Genomic DNA, 18,471 nt, shown 5'->3' with positions numbered 1-18,471 from the left:
CCAGCCTGGCCATCGTGGTGAAACCTGGTCTCTACTAAACATACAAAAATTAGCCAGGCGTGGTGGCACATGCCTGTAATCCCAGCTACTCGGGAGGCTGAGGTAGGAGAATTGCTTGAACCCGGGAGGCAGAGATTGCAGTGAGCTAAGGTTGTGCCATTGCACTCCAGCCTGGGCGAGAGAGTGAGACTCTGTCTCAAAATAAATAAATAAATAAATAAATAAATAAATAAATAAATAAATTAAAATAAAATAAAAGAATGGGTTCAGAGAAAAGAATTCAGTTCTCTCTTGATTCTGAAAAATCTTGGATTTATATGCTATACCTCATCTTCACTTTTCTTTTTCATATACTAGGAAGGCTTTCTTTCAGTCCTTTCTTATAACTCTCCTTTTCAGGGAAAGCTGTCTCTCCCAGATAAAAGCTGCCCGCACCTATCTTACCTTGGGAAAGATGTGAGGCTTATTCAGACTATGGAGTAAATGACTACTAAGGCTTCATATGTTCTCAGTCTAAGAGGCAGTGAGACTTAAATAAGGGGTAGAGATCTAGTTTAAATGCTAACCCCTCTGTGAAGATTTGAGGACTCCCCAGGAAAAGCTATTGGCTCCCATCTCTGTGTTTTTATAACATTTTGTTCAGGCCTCTATTGTGCTGCTGTCTTTGTGTATATATGCTCCACAGCTGAAATGTGATCTCCTCGAGGAAAAGCACGTAGTGTTATCCTCTTTGTATCCTCAGTCTGTGTGCCACATAGACTCTGCTGAATAAACGTTCATGTAGGGAATGAATGCTAAAATATAGCCAAAGCAATGAATACCTAATGGTAGAATTTCAGCCATTAGGCACACAGTGGGACATCTTGATCACTTAGATGGAATGTCCTTAAAGCTCCCTTTGAAATGTGACTGGCAGATGGCTCCTTATGCCACTTACAAGGAAATCTGTCCTTGTCTTGGTACCTTCATATAAATTTCCTGCCCTCTGATTTTTTTTTTTTTTTTTGAGAGAGGGTCTCATTCCCATCGCCCAGGCTAGAGTGCAATGGTGTGATTTCAGCTCACTGCAACCGTGACTTCTTGAGCTTAGGTGGCCCTCTCACTTCAGTCGCCTGAGTAACTGGGACTACAGGTGTTCACCACTATGCCCTGCTAATTTTTTGTATTTTTAGTAGAGATGGGGTCTCACTGTGTTGCCCAGGCTGGTCCCAAACTCCTGGGCTCAAGTGATCCTCCTGCCTGGGCCTCCCAAGGTGCTAGGATTATAGGCGTGAGCCACCGTGCCTGGCCTTGACTTCCTTCTATAAGAAAGAGTGTTGTAGACCTCCTTTGGAGAATATTTGTAGTGATGGATATAAAGCTTTCAGACTGCAAGCTTTATACATTTCTGGTCTGGATTTACAGGTTTTGAGAAAACAATCAAACCGCAAACTGAAATCATTATTAACATATCAGGACCTCTAAAACCCCCAGACCTTGCTGCCCAAATATACAATGAAAATAACTTTTTTTCTTCCTGGTTTTTTTGCTTGCTTTTCTAAGTTCAATGCACAGCCCTTTCACAGATGAGCCCTGGTGGTGGTGTGGCTGAATGGTGAATGAATGGTGGGCGGAGATGGTGGTTGTGGGGAGTTGGTGCCTACGAGACGATTATGACCTGGCCTTTCTCTGCAGCTCCTCTTGGGAAGGCATTTTCTTCTTTCTGCAAACCGTGCTGCTGTTTGTTTGGAGAAGGAGAGCTGTGGGTATGGAATTAGCGGGTGTCATGTGGGTTGCACGTGTGGCTGGAGCTACCTGAAATCTGTAGGCTAATCACTCCCAGATGGCCCCAGGGACTGCAGTCCCCAGAGCCCCAGAAACACAAATCCCTTCCCAGCCCCTCCTGTAGAAGGGGAGGGGTGGGAGTTAAAGGGAAAGCGAGAATGGCAGTGAGTGTACACAGTGTGTGTTGTCTGCATCATTCGTGCCTCTGACCCTGCATCCTCTGACCCCGGACGTTGGAGAAACAAAATCACCCACCACTACTCTTGCCCCTAATCCAAACTGTGATTTATTTGGAAGAAGAAGGAGGAGGAGTAGGAAGAGGTGAAAAGGAAAATGAGGACAGGAGGAGGAGAGAAACATTAGCTTCAGGAACTGTTGCATTGGCTTGGGGGTGGGGAAGGATGGGCGGGGTTCATTTCTACAGCTATTTACTTAGTTATTAAATGTCAAAAGTGCCGTAGCTTTTTGCTGCTTCTGGGTGAAACCTGTTGCTCAGATGGGTGGGGTGATGCACTGAGGGGTCATGGGAGAGGCACTGTCTTCCAGCCCGTGGGCAGCCACCACATGTAGGAAGTGTGGGGTGTCGGCTTGGGGAGGAGAAGCCTTGGTTTTGGCCCCCTGTCTGTTTAGAGCCTGTATTCTCTCTGTTTTGTCAGCTTCCACCCACAACTGTGGCTGCTATGCCTCTCCCCTGCAACCAGCCTTTGCCTGGACTCAGTGATCACAGCTCTATGCAGTCTCCCCTGAATAAACACCCATTCGCACACTGCACCATCACTCATTGACGTGGGGGAATCCTGGGAGGACACGCCTATTCATTCTCTCCCTCTGTCTCTCTCATACACACACATGCGCCACTCCAAAGCACACATATTCATATGCTCTTGTTCCTTCTCAAATAATTCCATCACTAATACACATTCCTTGCTGCTGCTTCCTGCTTTCGCTTTTGAAGTGCCCTTCCATCCACTCCTCAGCTCTATTCCCTGCATATCTCTAGGAGGCTGTGAGGGGAAGGAATTATTCTCTTTGTTTTCCACCTAAAGAAACAGAAGCTCTGGCAATAGTCGGCTGCTTGCTCAAGGTGACACAGTTAATGGAGAGGCAGATCTCTGGATGCGGCGTCTCAGGGGCCACGCCTGCCTCCCCCGCCGCCGCGCGCATACACAGAATTCCTCATGCTGCTGCTATCACGGAACTCAGGGTACGGGTGCACCCCGCAAGCCCACTCCTCCACAGTCTTCTTGTTCTCCCTGTGCTCTTGTTCACTCTTTTTTGGGTCACGTGGACAGACTGGGACTCCACTATTTTGTGAAGTGCATCTCTGATTTTATCTCTTCCCCTCTCCCCTAATCAGGGTTTGGCTGACTTTGTCTACTAGGAGCAGAGAACAAAGTGTGACTTGAACCATGCACATCAAACGTGTCCTCCATTTGTTTAATTTCCTTTTCATGAGACCCTTCTCCCGGGTTTGTAGGAATGGTGTGTGGGTTGAGTTTGTTTCACAATGATCGTTACTTTATTTTACTCCGCTATGTGCTGGGATTTCTTTCTTCTCTATGGGATGTGGCAGCCTTTTTATATCTTGATCCAGATTTTCAAAATCATTTTACTCTACGAAGCAGAAATTGGATGCCACCACCCTCTTACACCTGGAAGAGTCCTCATCATTTTGGAAGTGCAGGGCCCTCTATTGTTACCCTGTCCTTTTTCTGCTCCCGGAGGCATTTCTTTTTTTTTCTTTTTTGAGACGAAATCTTGCTCTGTCACCCAAGCTGGAGTGCTAGAGTGCAGTGGCGCCATCTCAGCTGACTGCAACGTCCGCCTCCCAGGTTCGAGCGATTCTCCTGTCTCAGCCTCCTGAGTAGCTGGTATTACAAGCGCACGCCACCACACCCGACTAATTTTTGTATTTGTAGTAGGGATGGGGTTTCACCATGTTGGCCAGGTTGGTCTCGAACTCCTGACCTCAGACCTCAGGTGATCTGCCCGCCTCGGCCTCCCAAAGTGCTGGTATTACAGGTGTGAGCCACTGTGCCCGGCGTGACATTTTTTAATAAAAGGCAGTGCTTGCACAGCCCTTTGTATGAGCTTGGTAGTCTGCTAAGGGCTTTACCTGGATATATTACCTTGTGTGCCCCCAGGAACCTTTCGTGGTGGGTTCTTGTTATTTTCCTTATTTTACAGACGGGAAAGATGGGGTGCAGAGTGGTTAATTACTTGGCTCAAATCTCACAGCTGTAGGTGTTAAGGGGTAAAAACCAACACTAACAACAACAACAATGAAACAAGAAAACAATAGCTACCAAATTTTGGAAGCTTATTATGTAAAAACTCAATACAAACTGGGATGGCTACCCTGTTATCATCTCTGTTCCACATCGGGGGAAACTGTGTTTACCATGGCCTTGTTTCTTTCTGGCCTTGCCTTGTTTTCTTTGGACTACAGATTTTGTGGGACAATGTTAGTTCACATTTAGAGATGGCAGTCCCTGAGCCAGGTTGTCAATGGAAGAGAGTGGGTTAGAAAGGAAGAGGGGCCGCTGAGAATTTCTTTTTTGAGACAGAGTCTTGCTCTGTCGCCCAGGCTGGAGTGCAGTGGCGCAATCTCAGCTCACTGCAACCTCCGCCTCCCGGGTTCAAGATATTCTCGTGCCTCAGTCTCCCAAATAGCTGGGACTGCAGGCACGCGCCACCATGCCTGGCTAATTTGTGTGTGTGTGTGTGTGTGTGTGTGTGTGTGTGTGTGTGTGTATATATATATATATATATTTTTTTTTTTTGTAGAGATGGAGCTTCACCATGTTGGCCAGGCTGCTCTCGAATTCCTGACCTCAGGTGATCCACCTGTCTTGGCCTCCCAAAGTGCTGGGATTACAGGTGTGGGCCACTGTGCCCTGCCTGCTGAGAACTGCTGAATCTCCGTAGTTGTCTTGCATTTTGCATAGGGCATAGCAGGTGTGGTACCCAAGTGGTTTCTTCTGTTATCTGCATCTCCATTGCTTCAAGCTGTTTGCCCTTGTGTTCATTCTCCCCACCTGCCCAGAGTTCCCAATTGTCCCCTAATGCTGAAGGAACATGTACAGGAAGGGCACATTCTTTTTGGGGGAAATTGAGGTTAGAACTGTCTGGTTCAAGCCAGGTCTGAATGATAACACATTTCCTTGGTACAGCAAACACTGGTGCTGAAAACTTGCTCATGCAGAACAGGTGGGAAGAGGGTTGCTATATGCTCCTTTAAGGAAAAAAGAGAGCAAAACACAGAGGGGGTGGTTATGACTTGCAGAAAACCATGACGTAGATAGGGTTAGGGTTCCCTGAGTATTTTGGTGTCCTTTCCATTGTTCTTTAACTGTTTTCTCCATGAAACAGCCAGATTCCAATTCAATTGGGGTTAGTCTTTTAATTTTTGGCAATTATTCCTGTATAATTGGTTAGAGAATGGAATGGATGGGGTGAGGGCATTGCTAAGTATTGACTCCAGTGAATATAGACAGAATGAGGACAGGGGACTTCATGAAAATGACAAAGATCAGTCAGTTCAAGAATATATTTTATTGACTTTCCCTGAGCTCAGGCCCCTCTCCAGGGAGCTAGGAAGGCTGAGGGGAGTGGGAGGGCAAGAACAATGAAAAATTTAAATGTTAAAACTCCTGCCTTGGGAAGCGTCCAGTGTGTTCTAACAATGACAGCGTGCTCTTTAAACAAGCAGTGCACATTCATTCCACAAACATTTCTTGAACGGCTAGGAGAGGCCTGGCTGCGTGCTATCCGACTACCCAAATTTACCAACCCAAGGGCAACTTCATTCTTAATTCAGCATGTCAGGCAGTGGTGCTTTTCTAGCTAAAGCCCTTGTCTGTGTAGCCCTTTGCAAAGAAATGCCACTTTTGGGACCTGATTAGGAAAAGAGAAAGCAACACATTCATGCCACATAGCTGGACATTCGCGGATGCCTTCCCTGTTTCTGACACTTGGTCATAGCTGTGTTCTAAGTCTGTGGTCACAAAGGTTTCCATGGATAATTTAAAGTGCTTTGTGTGTCGGAAACTGTGAATAAAAAGGTAAGGGGGGAAAGGCTAAGCAGCAAGCTCACCCAAACCCTAAACCTCAGACTCTTGGAAAGAATCAGCTGCATAAAACAGTCCCAAACTGCAAACATGCCGTCAGCCAGGACGACGAAGGAGACGTTTCCAGAGACTGGTGGTTCTGCAGTCTCTGGAGGCCTTGGCTGCACACAAGTCCACACTGAGGAGTGGAGATCCTTTTTAAGTTTCGGAAAGCAAAGCACTTTCTCCCTGAAGCACCTCTTACTTTGCTCCCTTCTGATGGTCCTGGTCTTCTCTCCAGGGTGCTCCTGGCTGACCCCAGGGCTCACACAAGCCTCCCCCTTGACAGCTGCCACCTCTCCTGCCAGCTCTTATCTGGGAGAGCAGGAATCCTACCTTTCAGATTCCCCACAGTTTCTGAAAGAAGGTATTGTTATTTTCTCCATACTGCCCAGGTTAGGAACAAAGGCAGATTCTGGATCTTCTTTAAGCAGGATAGAATGGAATTGGCATTCCTTTAAAATGGCTTGTTATTACAGCTGATTTCTGCTAACAATTACCTGACAATATAGAAAGAGGATCTGACTCCTTTAGGGTGTTGTTGAGTTTTGCTTTTCTCATTTTCTTTTTTGTGGAGCGTTAAAAAAATTCGTGTGTAGTTGGAGTTTAGATTTAGACAGGTCTAGTATATTTACATCAGTGATGTGTAAATCCTACTAGGTAAATTATTATTTTATAAAAATGTGTGTGTGTGCTTCCCAGAGAAGAGAAAATGGGATATTTTATTTCCTTTGATAGTCAAGTTGTCTCTTGAGAACAGAATTTTGTAGGAAAAAGGATGAGTTGCTGACTTTTGAAAACGTGTCTATGAAGAGTATGAGACGGTTTGTTTCACAAGTGGGCTCTGTACTTTTTATTATTTGATTTGAGCAAATGCTTTGCACAAAACTGATACTCAACAGATATTTGTTGAAAAGAATTGTGCCTGCTTTGCTTGATATGCTGAAGTAGAAGGAAGTCCCTGCTCTATGCTGGAATGGGAGATTGGAGGGTTGAAGACTGTCCTGCAACAAAGACTGGGCAGATGGGTAGGGCATCTGGTTAAACCTAAAAGCCAATTTTTGTCAATACAGTACAACCTCCATAGATCTTTCAGGGAGTAATTCCAAATCAGGAGTGCCTTAGACCAAAAATGTGACCTCTGTGTTTCTATAACTATGTTAATGTGACCTGTAAAACAGTTCACTTCTCAACAAGTCAGCTTCCTCATATTTAAAATGAGAAGTTGTCTTGAGTTTCTAAAGATGTTTAGGCTGCATTGTCTTGGGCCTGCTCAGGATTTTGACCTCTGAGATAAAAGCTGGATTTAAAAAGCCAATCCAAGCCAAACACCTGGCATTATTAGCATTGTTATTCCATCAGATCTGTTTGTTTGATAAAGAAGCTGGGGGTGGAATTGGTGGTGCCTTAAATACCCTAGCTTGGTGCAGAGGTAAGATACTCTGTCTGGGCACGGTGGCTCATGCCTGTAATCCCAGCACTTCGAGAAGCCAAGGCAGGCAGGTCGTGAGGTCAAGAGATCGAGACCATCCTGGCCAACATGGTGAAACCCCGTCTCTACTAAAATTACAAAAATTAGCTGGGCGTGGTGGCACGCGCCTGTAGTCCCAACTACTCGAGAGGCTGAGGCAGGAGAATCACTTGAACCCGGGACGCAGAGGTTGCAGTGAGCCAAGATCATGCCACTGCACTCCAGCCTGGGCCACAGGGTGAGACTCCGCCTCAAAAAAAAAAAAAAAAAAAAAAAGATTCTCCTTAAATATCATTGCAGCCTGACAGCCTGACATACGTCGGGAGCTCAGTAGACAATCAAACAAAAATTCCCTGAATACCAGAAGATTTGGCTGTTTGGGGTTGAGTGGAAGCTGCCTTGGGAGTTAAGATGGGCTGTAGCTTTTCAGAGGCAATTTGTCAGGAGGACTCATGTCCACATCATATTCTTCGTAATGTGTGCCTCATACCAAATACGTACAATCCCTCCAACCCCCGCCATTTTTTTAAGAGACAGAGTCTCACTATGTTGCCCAGGCTGGCCTAATATTCCTGGGTCAAGCGATCCTCCTGCCTTAGCTACCCAAGTAGCTGGGACTACAGGCACACGAGACACCAGCTACCAGAATCTCTTTTTGATGAGGATGGATTTATGGCAGATAGATAGGTTTTTGTTTGTTTCAAACAAAACTAGATGTCACCTTCCCCTTTCACCCTTTGTTCTCACCTTCTTGTCTCCCTCTTGCAGGCCCCACACATTGATTTTAATTTTCAACACTTAGCACCTGACTTAGTGATCTAAGATCACTGACTCAGAAAACAGGAAAGGTCAGTCTGCCTAACACCTCACCCAGCGTCCTGGGATTAGCATCCAAAACAAACAGATCAGAGATGGGATGCAGACTCCCAAGAGATGATTCCCACATGTGAGAAAGCCCAGGAGAAGCGGATGGCGGATGGCGTTTCTCAAGCTCGCTGACGTCACTCAAGTTCATGATCCAAGGCTTCACCCTACTGGGGTTGGGGGGTTGGGTTCTACTGGAAGAGTGAAGCTGGTGGATTAAGAAAAGTGGTGGTAGGGAGAGGGAGGGAAAGGAGTTCTTTCTGCTAGTCAAAGGAGAAACCAAATAAAATGAATGAAGTCCAAGAAAAATACAACTCTATTGTTTTGGGGGCATAAGAGGCTGGCTTGGAGGCTTCATTGAGTAATTCGAGTCACACCCTTTCTCTGTGGGCCTGAAGGAATGTTGGCTGTTTCTCTGCAGCCCAGGTGGGAGGTGGGTAGACAGGTCTATGGAGATGAGAATTTCTTGGAGCTGTTAACTCTCTGAACATCCCCACGGCCTTGCAAGCTGGGAGGCTGGGACACAAAGAAGCAGGAATGCAGTGCTGAATCAAGGCCAAGGAGCAGCGGCCATGGGAGGGGACGGCGGGAAGAGAAAAAGGCGGAAGAAACCTAGAAAACAGGGAAGGAAGTGACCCTGTTCTTTTTCTCCTCTTCTGAACAGGGGCTTCTCTGTCCTCAAGAGCCCCTTGGCTCCCTTTCATTAAGCCATAGGGCGGATACCCAGGGAGAGGTGGCGTGTCTGGGTCGGGGTTGTGATGGGAAGCAGGAAGCACCAGTCATTTCACAAGAAGGCTTGACATTGGAGAGGGAGCCAGCAAAAACTGGCAGACCCCCAAGGTGGGGTAGGAAAGTCTGGCCTAGCGTGAAGAACACTTGGCTCCACAGAGTTCTGTGGGTTTGTTAAAAAACAGGGCAGTCCACAAAGTTGTGCTGCCAGCCCACCGAAAACATCCCTTTCTCTCCTCATCCTTGATTGTTTCTCTGCAATGACACATCTACCTCTGGTGGTGAACTTCCACAGCCCAAAGGAGGATTAATGTGACCAGATGTCTTGCCAGGATTGTCCGTCCCAATAGGAAGTCCTTAATTATAATTGTCAAGAATGTATGTGGGCTCCTGGTGGATCCTACTACCTTATCTCATCCCTCTTCGCCTTTCACCCTTTCTTCTCTTTAGATTTCAGCAAGAATCATATTTGTGTACGTATAGCTCTGGAATTGCCTGTAACTCTCCTTTGGGGAGAGTTTCACTGTTGGATCAGTCAGTATTCTGTTCCTTCTGTAGCTGTTTGTCCCTTTCCTGGACTGGGAATCTTTTTCCCAAACTCTAGCCTCAATACTCCCCAAATTCCAGCTTGTATTCTTTAACTATTAATGGTGAAGATGCAGGATATACCTCTTCGTTCTTATTCTGGATACACAATTTATCCGACTCATAAAGTGTCCTGTCTTGGTGTATCTGAAACTTCATCCCCGTGAGAAAGATGATGTTGTTAGGGAGCTTTCAATTTTTTTTTCCCCAAAACACTTGTTCTACAGTTGGATTTGTTTTGGTTCCAAGGTCTCTGGACTTAATGCTAATGGAAATTATTACTGATCTAATGCACAGTAGCACTCTGGATTCCGAACTCCTGGGCTCTCTCTTTCTTTTGACCAACTTGGTCTGCGACTTTAGAAAAGCTATGCCACGTTCTCTGTGCTTCAGTTCTACCTCTTGCTCGAAGAAAGTTCCTCATCAAGATTCAGTGTCTGCTCGCCCTTTCTTTGTCCTTTTCCAAGGCCAGGATACTTACTGTAAAGACCTTCGACAGGCTTCCTTGTGGGAGAGTTTGTTTAGAGTGAGTTTGGAGGAGCTTAGGATGAAGGAGGGGTTGGAGGCAGTCAAGAGCTTTTTGGGCTGAAAGATGGTAGTCCATTTGCTTTTAAGGAAACCATACCTCACCCTAGAGAAGAGCTAATCATCTATGGGGCACCAGCCCCAGAATCTTTAGGGTTTAGAATTTGTATGGCAACCACTGTGGAAAATATCTTTGAAGTGAACAGAAGAGGGATGAACCAGTCTGGAAATATTTTCACCATGCCAATAGCCATGTTTACAGTAGAGCATATGGACAGAGTTTAGAGTTGATATATTTCCATCACTTAAAAAAAAAGATGATCCATCCAATAAAGCTTTACCTTAGTGCTTGTGTCTGAATTCTGTTTATCTGATATGACGTAGAAGTACCTAATGACAGCACTTCAACATTTCCCATTATCACAACGATACCATGCAGTGTTCGGAATTAAAAATCAGAACTCAAAGCAGTGCTTTGCAGAAGAGGCTTTGCCAGCTACACAGAAGATTGCTGTCCAAATAAAGCCTTGGTTTAGGGGTGCTGCCATTAGTGCTAGGCCACTGATAACAAACTCAGATGCTAAAAGAATGGTGTGTAGAAGGCCAGGACAATGAGAAGTGCTTATTACAGTCTGTGTTCTGTATGACTGTGTGCTGATTGGGTGCCCTCTGCAAAAATGTTGCCACTATTGATAAGAATAATCCTTGAATTCTTTGTTGAAAAGCCACTATGAGTGAAGGCTTTGTGCTAAGTGTGTCATAAACACTCTGCGTGCTTCCTACAGCACCACAGGCAGTAGGCTTGGGTTTCCAGCCTGATTATCTACAATGGAGGATAACACTAGTGCCTCCCTTTGAGGTTACTATGAGGATTAGAGCCCCTGGGTGTCATGTGGAAGAGTTCCTGGCATCTAGTAAGTGCTCACTACAGGATAGTTGGATTGGCTGTCATGCCCACCACCATTTGAAGGCAAGCTCAAGCTCAGAGCAGTAAAGAAACACATCCAGAGTTTAGCTAGGAAGAACCCCGGTCTGTCTGTAACTGAAGCCTGGACTCTTCTCATCTCTGAAAGAAAACCGAGAGAAGCCCTGGATTACAACTTGAGCAGCCATGTGGGGCACTGACATCCCATGCCACATGTTTCCCACAACAGGTATCTTGAAAAATGTTACTTGGAGGAAAGGAGAAGAATTCAAGAGCCATTCACGAGAGAGTAATAACTTAAAAATAGATCTCAGGAGTGGTTCAGATTTTCTGGATATTTGAAAAATTGCATAATAAAATGTTGGCAGAAAAAAGTATGGTGTAATGGAAGCAAGAGAAGGCTAATTTAGAAGGCAAGAAGGCCTTTGCCCAGTGTTCCAAAGCTCAGCACTTTCTAAAAGAAAGAAGGAGCAGCAGTGGCCTGAAGCTGTGAGCCCCTGGCCTGGGGGGTGGCCACGGAGAGTTGCTTGGCTTGACTGGGAGGACATCTACCCTAGGTGGAAGATAGGTTCTAAGGAACAAAAAGCCACTTTTCTCGAAGCCTTGCTGATTTCCACATTACATAATGTAGAGTTATGTGTCTGCTGTGGGGTTGGCAGGAGCCTGAATGTGATATGTTGATAACACATGGAGTCTTGCATGCAAACTCTGTTTATACACTAGGCCCTCCCTCCAAGTCCAGGGGCGGGTAGCTGGCTGCACAGCCTCCATCAGAGTCTGGAAGAGTCAGTGTTTTATGGCCACTCATGTTTATTTTGCTGTCTAACTATGTTAGCCATTGTGAATTTGGTTAAAGCAAAGCACCGTAAAGAAAATGGAGAAAGCATTCTTTGATATAGAGGCGACTACATTTCCATACGTATCTTCCCTGTCAGATGACATCCCTGTCCAGAGAGAAGGGGCCACCCAGGGTCAGAAAGGAGACTGGGGACCTGTTTTGAACCTTTAGCTACTTTCCTAAAAATTATGCTCCGACGTGAGTGTCCATTTAGATATTCAACCAAGTTCTATGTCAAAGTTGGCTGTTGGCTGCTGAGAACGGAGAACTGGCATTCCATCTTTGAAGGGATGGCAGAGAGATGCATTTCACTTTGTCACTTCCAAGCCATCTGATCTGAGTGATCAGAAAAGAGATCAGCCCTTCTCAAGAAGACTTCACCATCCCAGCCAAGAGAGAGCTCAGGCCTCAGGTTGAGGCAGGTTCCCATGAAGCAGCCAAATGTTTGCAAAACAAGCACCGAGATGAGGAGGCTCAGTCTGCAGAGACATCTCAAGGTTGCGACAGTCTTGGAAGATGTTAGTGAGCTGATGGAAGAGCCCTGGGGAGCCAAGGCTGGGAGACAGCTGCCTGGGCAGAGCTGGGGTCCCTTCCAATCGCTGCCTGAAACGCAAGTGTGCTGAGCAAGGAAGGGCTAACTGGCTGCTGTAATTGTCTGGTGTTTATATTTGAAAAGGGATACTACACTTCCAGGATAATTCCCTCCAGCCTCCTCTAGGGCTAAGATTTCCAACTGGTCTAGAGTCCTGAAGAGAAATCAGGGGCTGATTACCTGGCCGACTGGGCTGCAATCACACCTTTCAATACTAATTATCTGCTCCTTGAGTTCAATGACATTGAGCGTCCAGGCTCTGGCTGGGGTGAACCTTGCTCATTGGTTTGCATCACTGGCTTAAGACAATGATTTGAATGGACAAAGTACCCGCACTGTGCCTTGATAAGCAGGAAATGAACGCTTGTTTGCAAATAAGATTGGGAAATGTGATCAGCTTTTTGTTCGGCATCTGTCTTTGGCTAACAAGCCTGATAATACTAATACAGAAATAATATGTTAGGAGACACCAGTGATGGAGCCTTTTTTATAACTACCCCCAACTTTCTGTACCTGAAACCATGGAAGGAGAAAAGGGGATGCCTTCTCCCCCGCCACCCCTGAAAGTATTCTAGTTTGAATTTTTTTTTTTTTTTGTGGAGGTTTGGAGAAACAGTTCCCAACTTGATACAAGATACCTTTACAGTGTTGCAGTGTTGGTATTTGTTCATATATGTGGCTTTTTCTAAATGCCCGCCTCTATTCCCAGCCATCTGTGATTCCCTCCCCCAAGAAAGCCCTCCTTCATTGAGTAGAATATAAATTTTACTCCTACTTGGATGCAACGTAATGGAGGTTCATTAGTCACATAAACAGCTTTGGTGCAGATTCATTCCAGTGGCATTTCTTGGTGACGAGAATGTATACTGAGTGTTTGGCAGCTCATGGAGGAGTTAGTTGTGGGCTGGGTGAAGAGAGAGAGATTATAAGCCAGTATCTGGCTTGGAACTGCTTGTGTTGGTGTCCAGCAAAATGTATTGTTTCTGGTGAAGGGACACTGGGGACAAGGAGTACATCTTCACGGTCTTTAATCTTTCAGGAATGTTACTTTCAAATCTTGACCCCTTGATCATAAATTACAGAAGCCCATTGTCATGGGTTGAATTGTGTTCCCCAAAAGATGTTGAAGACCTGACCTCCAGGACCTCATAATGGGACCTTACTTGGAAACAGGGTAATTGCAGATATAATTAGTTAAGATGAGGTCATACTCATCTTTGGGTATAGCTCAATTACCCCAGCCAGTAGGGTGGGCTTCTAATCCAATATGACTCATATCCTTATAAAAAGGGAGAATTTAGACACAGCCATATACAGAGGGAAGATGCTGTGATGAGATAGAAGAAACCCTATGAGAAGGTGGGAAATTGAAAGGAAGCATCTATAAGCCAAGGAATGACTGAGGCTCCCAGAAGCCAGGAGAGAGGCAGGGAACAGAACCTTCGGAGGGAACATGGCCCTGCTGATACCTTGATTTTAGACTTCTATCCTTCAGGACTCTGAGAAAATACATTTCTGTTATTTTAACCCCCTCCCCACCTACCCCCACCCCGTTTGTGGTCCCTTGTTATTGCAACCTTCGGAAACTAATATATCCAGCTTCCACAGACCCAGATAGTTTGGAAAGGAAGAGCAGTATCGGCTTACCTAACCCAAACAACACTCATGTTCTTTTGTTTGCCAGCTTGGGCACTGGGAAGTTCTCAGGATCCTTGGTTTGGTTACCACTGGGGTCTCAGCAGTCCCAGGCCTATCTTGGAGGTGGTGAAATGTCAGGGGACTAAACCAACTGCAAGCACACCCCTGGCCACATTACTAAAAGGGGTCAGGATGTAATTGAGACAGCTCTTTGGTATGATGGACTTGCACTTTGAATTCCTATTTCATCCTCTTAGCTTCTCTTCCTTCAACCTGGAAGGGCAGGAAAGAGAAAATGGCTTAGGTACCAGAGCTTAATTTATAGGCAAACATGGTCAAAGCCAGAGGCGGTTTTAATGGATTTTCTTACCACGCCGTCCAATCTCAGGGCCTTTTGTGATAGACTGGATTGTTCCCTTTAATACGCCTCCCATGCAACTTGCCCCAATATAGCTGGAACCTGGAAAGAATGGAGACCCTCTGGGCTGAAAATAGCGCACTTCACCTTTATCTCTTTGACACTATTCTGAGGATCATTAAGTCCACTAGGTCCTGATGTGATTGTCTATTTGGCTTCTGCCCTTGATGAGAAAGACAACCAGGGAGGAGTTTCCTTTGCTCCAGCCTCTCCCCTTTGCCGTGGTCATGTATGATGCCATTGAACCATAGAGCTATAAGGACCTTCAGCGATCAATATTAAAACTTCCTTATTTTTACTTGAAAATGCTGAGATCCAAAGAGGGAATAGAACTTGCTCAAATGCTCTTGCCTTGGTGGTACTGGGCTGCATGCCCAAGTGTTCTGAACCTTGCTCTTCATTTCTAACCATGGCCCCATTTCTTCCTCTTGAGAAGTTTTTGGGTTTGTTTCCTGATTTGACAATTCCTCAGTGCTCTATTGATAAGGTTTGGCTGTGTCCCCACCCAAATCTCATCTTAAATTGTAGCTCCCATAATTCCCACGTGTTGTGGGAGGGACCTGGTGGGAGTCACTGAATCATGGGTGCAGTTCCCCTATACTGTTCTCATGGTAGTGAATAAGTCTCATGAGATCTGATGGTTTTATAAGGGGTTCCCTCTTTCACTTGGCTTTTATTCTCTCTTGGCTGCCACCGTGTAAGACGTGCCTTTCACCTTCCACCATGAGTATGAGGCCTCCCCAGTCACATGGAACTGTGAGTCCATTAAACCTCTTCTTTATAAATTACCCACTCTCTGGTATCTTTATCAGCAGCATGAAAATGAACTTCCCATTTGTCTTCCCCAAACTCCCATTTTTCTGCCACCAGACCACTGAAGAGTTGCTTTCCCTGTCTCCATGCAGCCTGTCCACTCCCCTTGGGCTACTTTTATCAGTAAGTAAAGAAGAATTGGTATTTTTTGAGCACCTGCTGTTTGCCATGGCACAATGCTGAAATGCTTCCCCAAATGCTAGCAGAAGAGGGGAGTGCGGCTCACAGAGGTCAAAGTCATGCCCAAGGTCATGTGGCTATTAAAAAACAGAGCTGGAATCCAAATGTCTCTGGGGAGGCTCTTTCTCCAGCTCGAGAAAGGGGACCACACCCATGGTACCATGCTTGGATGTAGCAAAGGGAGGGCAAAAATGGCACCTCTGTGCTGTTCTTCCAGCCTCTGACACATTCTTCCAGCTCAACTCTTTCCACACTAACAAAAGCATTTTAATTCAAAAGGAGCAATGCCTGCTATCTATAAAAGAGGTGGTTTATATCTTTTTTTCCTGCTCTGCACTTTTCTAGCATAAACAGAACACCCTCTGGTGGTAGCAAACACAGACTCCCCCATCTCACACTTAAAGGCCGAGCATCAGAGTCAAAGCAAATCAACACATATTTGGTGGGCACCCACGATGCCCAAAGTGAAAGGGTGATGTGTAAGCTCCTCTATTTGAGTTGGTTACAAGCCTTGAGGGGGATGACTCAGGTGCTGCTCAGCAAGTCAACAGGCCAAAAATAAGGGTGTTGTATGAGGTGGCCGCCGGCCACCCTCCGTCCACCTTCGAGCGTTTCTTGTCACGTCTCTGCACTCCTAGCCTAGTTTGGTTGCTACAGCCACTGCCACATCCTGCTCACTCGTTTTGGTGCCCTGGCTGAGATGTTGCCCCACCTCCTTCTAAAATGGCCTGGGTGATGTAGTGGAAAGACTGGGAGCCCCGGCTCCTAATGTCCTGACCCTCCTCTCCTGCAGGAACTGGGTGAGGGGGTGGGGAACACTGGGCTCCATTTTCTGCATTTGTAAATAAGTGGGCTATGTTTAATAATAAAAATAATCCTTCTTCCAGTTCTAAAACGTTATAATTTTTTGGTGCCAATCTCTGTTCAATCACTCTCTTCAAGACCTTGGCCAAAACGCTTTCTTTTAATTTTTTCCTAACTAACTCTAACTCACTCTGACCTTCAAAGCACTTAACCAAATCGTTATTGTAGACTATTTTATGCTTTTTTAAATAGGTCTCTGGAATGGTTTAGAAATTTTGTATTTTATTTTCTGAGCAAGTTTTTCAGCTATCAAGTGTAGAATCACATTTGTTTGTAATCCAAGGCCCTCAGAAATCTGTATTGTACGATAGAACTTAATTGTGAATTCCTATGTATTAACTTGTCACTGACAGTATTTTTTTCATCCAGTCTGCTGTTAAATTCTTAGGTGGTTTAGATGTTTTTAAGTCAACACATTCATTCAGGTAGGGAAGATTCTCAAGCAGAAATGGGTGGAAATGCCCAGTTGGTGTAGTATACTGGCCCCATATTATAGAACACACAATAAAAAATTTGCATTTTTGCAATGTCCTTTCTGGTAATAAGACCATTAGTGTTCTTGGCCTTTTTGGCTATGCCTCTTTCTGCCACTGCCATTTATTGTTCATCTTACCTCAGCTGGAGATAAAATTGCCCACAGGGTCAGGGATTCTGGGTTCTAGTGGCTGTTATTGATCTCTCCCTTGAACTAATTAAGCCTGCACAAAGTAATGGCATTTATTTATTAATTAAACAGATTTTGATTGAGCCCCTGTCTAATTCTAGGCACAAATTCTGCCACAGCAGAGAGCAGCCCTCAAGGAGCTTAAAATTTGGACAGGAAGATAGAGCAAATAAAAATTATTAGAAATTGTGATAAATATTCAAAGAAATCAAACTATATAGAGAACAATTATTGGGGTGAGGTAGGATGGGGGCTCTCTCCTGCATCAGGGGTAGCTAGGAAAAGGCTCCTGGAGAAGATGACATTTCAGCTGGAACCTGGAGGATGAGGGGCGTCATTCACAAGGAGAGAGTGAGAGGAGAAGGGACGGGAGAGGGCATCCTAGGCAGAGAAAAGAGCACATTCAAAGGCCCTGAGGTAGAGAAGACTGGTATGTTGGAGGAGCCAAAAAGAATGCTGACAAGGCTAGCATGCCCTGGCACCCACTCTCCAGGCCTGGGATAGGCATGTTATAAGCTTGAATTCCAATTCTCGCAATAACTCTAAGAGGCAGGCATAGCTTTCCCTGGGTTTCAGATGTGGACCTTGTTTCAGGTTTTCAAGCCCACACCCCTAGAATGTGGAGAATCTGGGTTTGTGCTCCTTCCCACCCGCCATGCTTCAAGGCTTTCAGTTGGCTTGGGTGTGTGGCTCAGTAAGGAAGTCAGAATGGATCACCTGTCAGAACTGGGGAGGCTGGGGCTTGGCTGGCAGGATATGGAGTGTGTGTATTTTCTGTTTATTCTTGAAGTTTCCTTCCCTGCAAATACATGCCTAGTTGCCATGTGCCTTTCACAAGGAAGCCAACGCCAGCACTCCATCGCTCATGAGCAGTCCTGCAAAAACAAATCCATATCCTTAATGCAACCCTAGGTGCCAGCAAGTCAGGCCTGCACTGGCCAGGCAGCCTGGAGCTTAGGAACAATCTGGTCCTCAGGAAGGGAGGGAAGAAAAACAATTTCAAATTCCAGGCACCTGGGGCCTCTTACAGACGGCCATTGTCGGGAGAAGGGAAAACTAAACTGTGTAAAGGAGCTGGTGGCGCCTTTGGGAAGGGTAGAGGATATTGAGGTTGGAGGCTGCTGCTCAGGGTGTGTGCACAGTGGGCATGGGATGGGGTAATCTGAAGAAAGAGCTGAACAGTTCACTTGTGTGAGCTTGGGCAGCTTGCCTTTAGGTGCCTCAGTTTCCTCATTTTAAAATGATGAGAAGAGTAACATCTGCCCCGGTTCCCTCAAGTTGGGCATACAAATGTGAATAGGCTTAGAAAAGGGTGACAGACTCTTTAGATGTCAGGGATTGCAGAAGAGGGCTGCCTCCCTTTTTAATTATTCTGTTGATTAGGACCTCTGGTATGTCTTAGTAAGTTTCCCCCTCCTGGGAATAACCACCTGAGAAGAGCCCTGTAGTTTCCTGTTGCCCAAGATGAAGGTGGTGGTTGGATGCTCTTCAG

At 45.6% G+C, this 18,471-nt stretch overlaps 1 long non-coding RNA gene across 2 annotated transcripts in view, besides 3 other annotated features; it reads left to right on the top strand.

Moving 5' to 3' along the window:
* The window catches only part of SOX9-AS1 (SOX9 antisense RNA 1), a 49,752-nt gene that overhangs the window by 7,436 nt on the left and 23,845 nt on the right, over nucleotides 1–18,471 (top strand). The gene's annotated exons all lie outside the window — the stretch shown is intronic.
* Nucleotides 3,983–7,068: an enhancer, noted in NCBI's record as "hTES fragment". NCBI's record gives the evidence for it as "EXISTENCE:reporter gene assay evidence [ECO:0000049][PMID:21412441]".
* Nucleotides 8,001–9,259: an enhancer, noted in NCBI's record as "eALDI fragment used in reporter constructs". NCBI's record gives its function as "activates a beta-globin minimal promoter in COS-7 monkey kidney cells and TM4 Sertoli testicular cells cotransfected with either SRY + SF1 or SOX9 + SF1, and in HEK293T human embryonic kidney cells and TM3 Leydig testicular cells cotransfected with SRY + SF1 {active_cell/tissue: COS-7(+SRY and SF1 or +SOX9 and SF1) | HEK293T(+SRY and SF1) | TM3(+SRY and SF1 or +SF1 alone) | TM4(+SRY and SF1 or +SOX9 and SF1 or +SF1 alone)}" and the evidence as "EXISTENCE:reporter gene assay evidence [ECO:0000049][PMID:30552336]".
* Nucleotides 8,529–8,531: a transcriptional cis regulatory region, noted in NCBI's record as "SRY motif bases mutated in the eALDI deltaSRY reporter construct". NCBI's record gives its function as "important for eALDI enhancer activity in COS-7 monkey kidney cells cotransfected with SOX9 + SF1 or with SRY +SF1 {active_cell/tissue: COS-7(+SOX9 and SF1 or +SRY and SF1)}" and the evidence as "EXISTENCE:site-directed mutagenesis evidence [ECO:0005528][PMID:30552336]".

The sequence above is a fragment of the Homo sapiens genome, chromosome 17 (genome assembly GCF_000001405.40).
Source record: "Homo sapiens chromosome 17, GRCh38.p14 Primary Assembly".
Classification (NCBI taxonomy): Eukaryota; Metazoa; Chordata; class Mammalia; order Primates; family Hominidae; genus Homo; species Homo sapiens.
The sequence above is the reverse complement of the archived record's forward strand: the minus strand, read 5'-3'. Positions and strand labels throughout refer to the sequence as shown.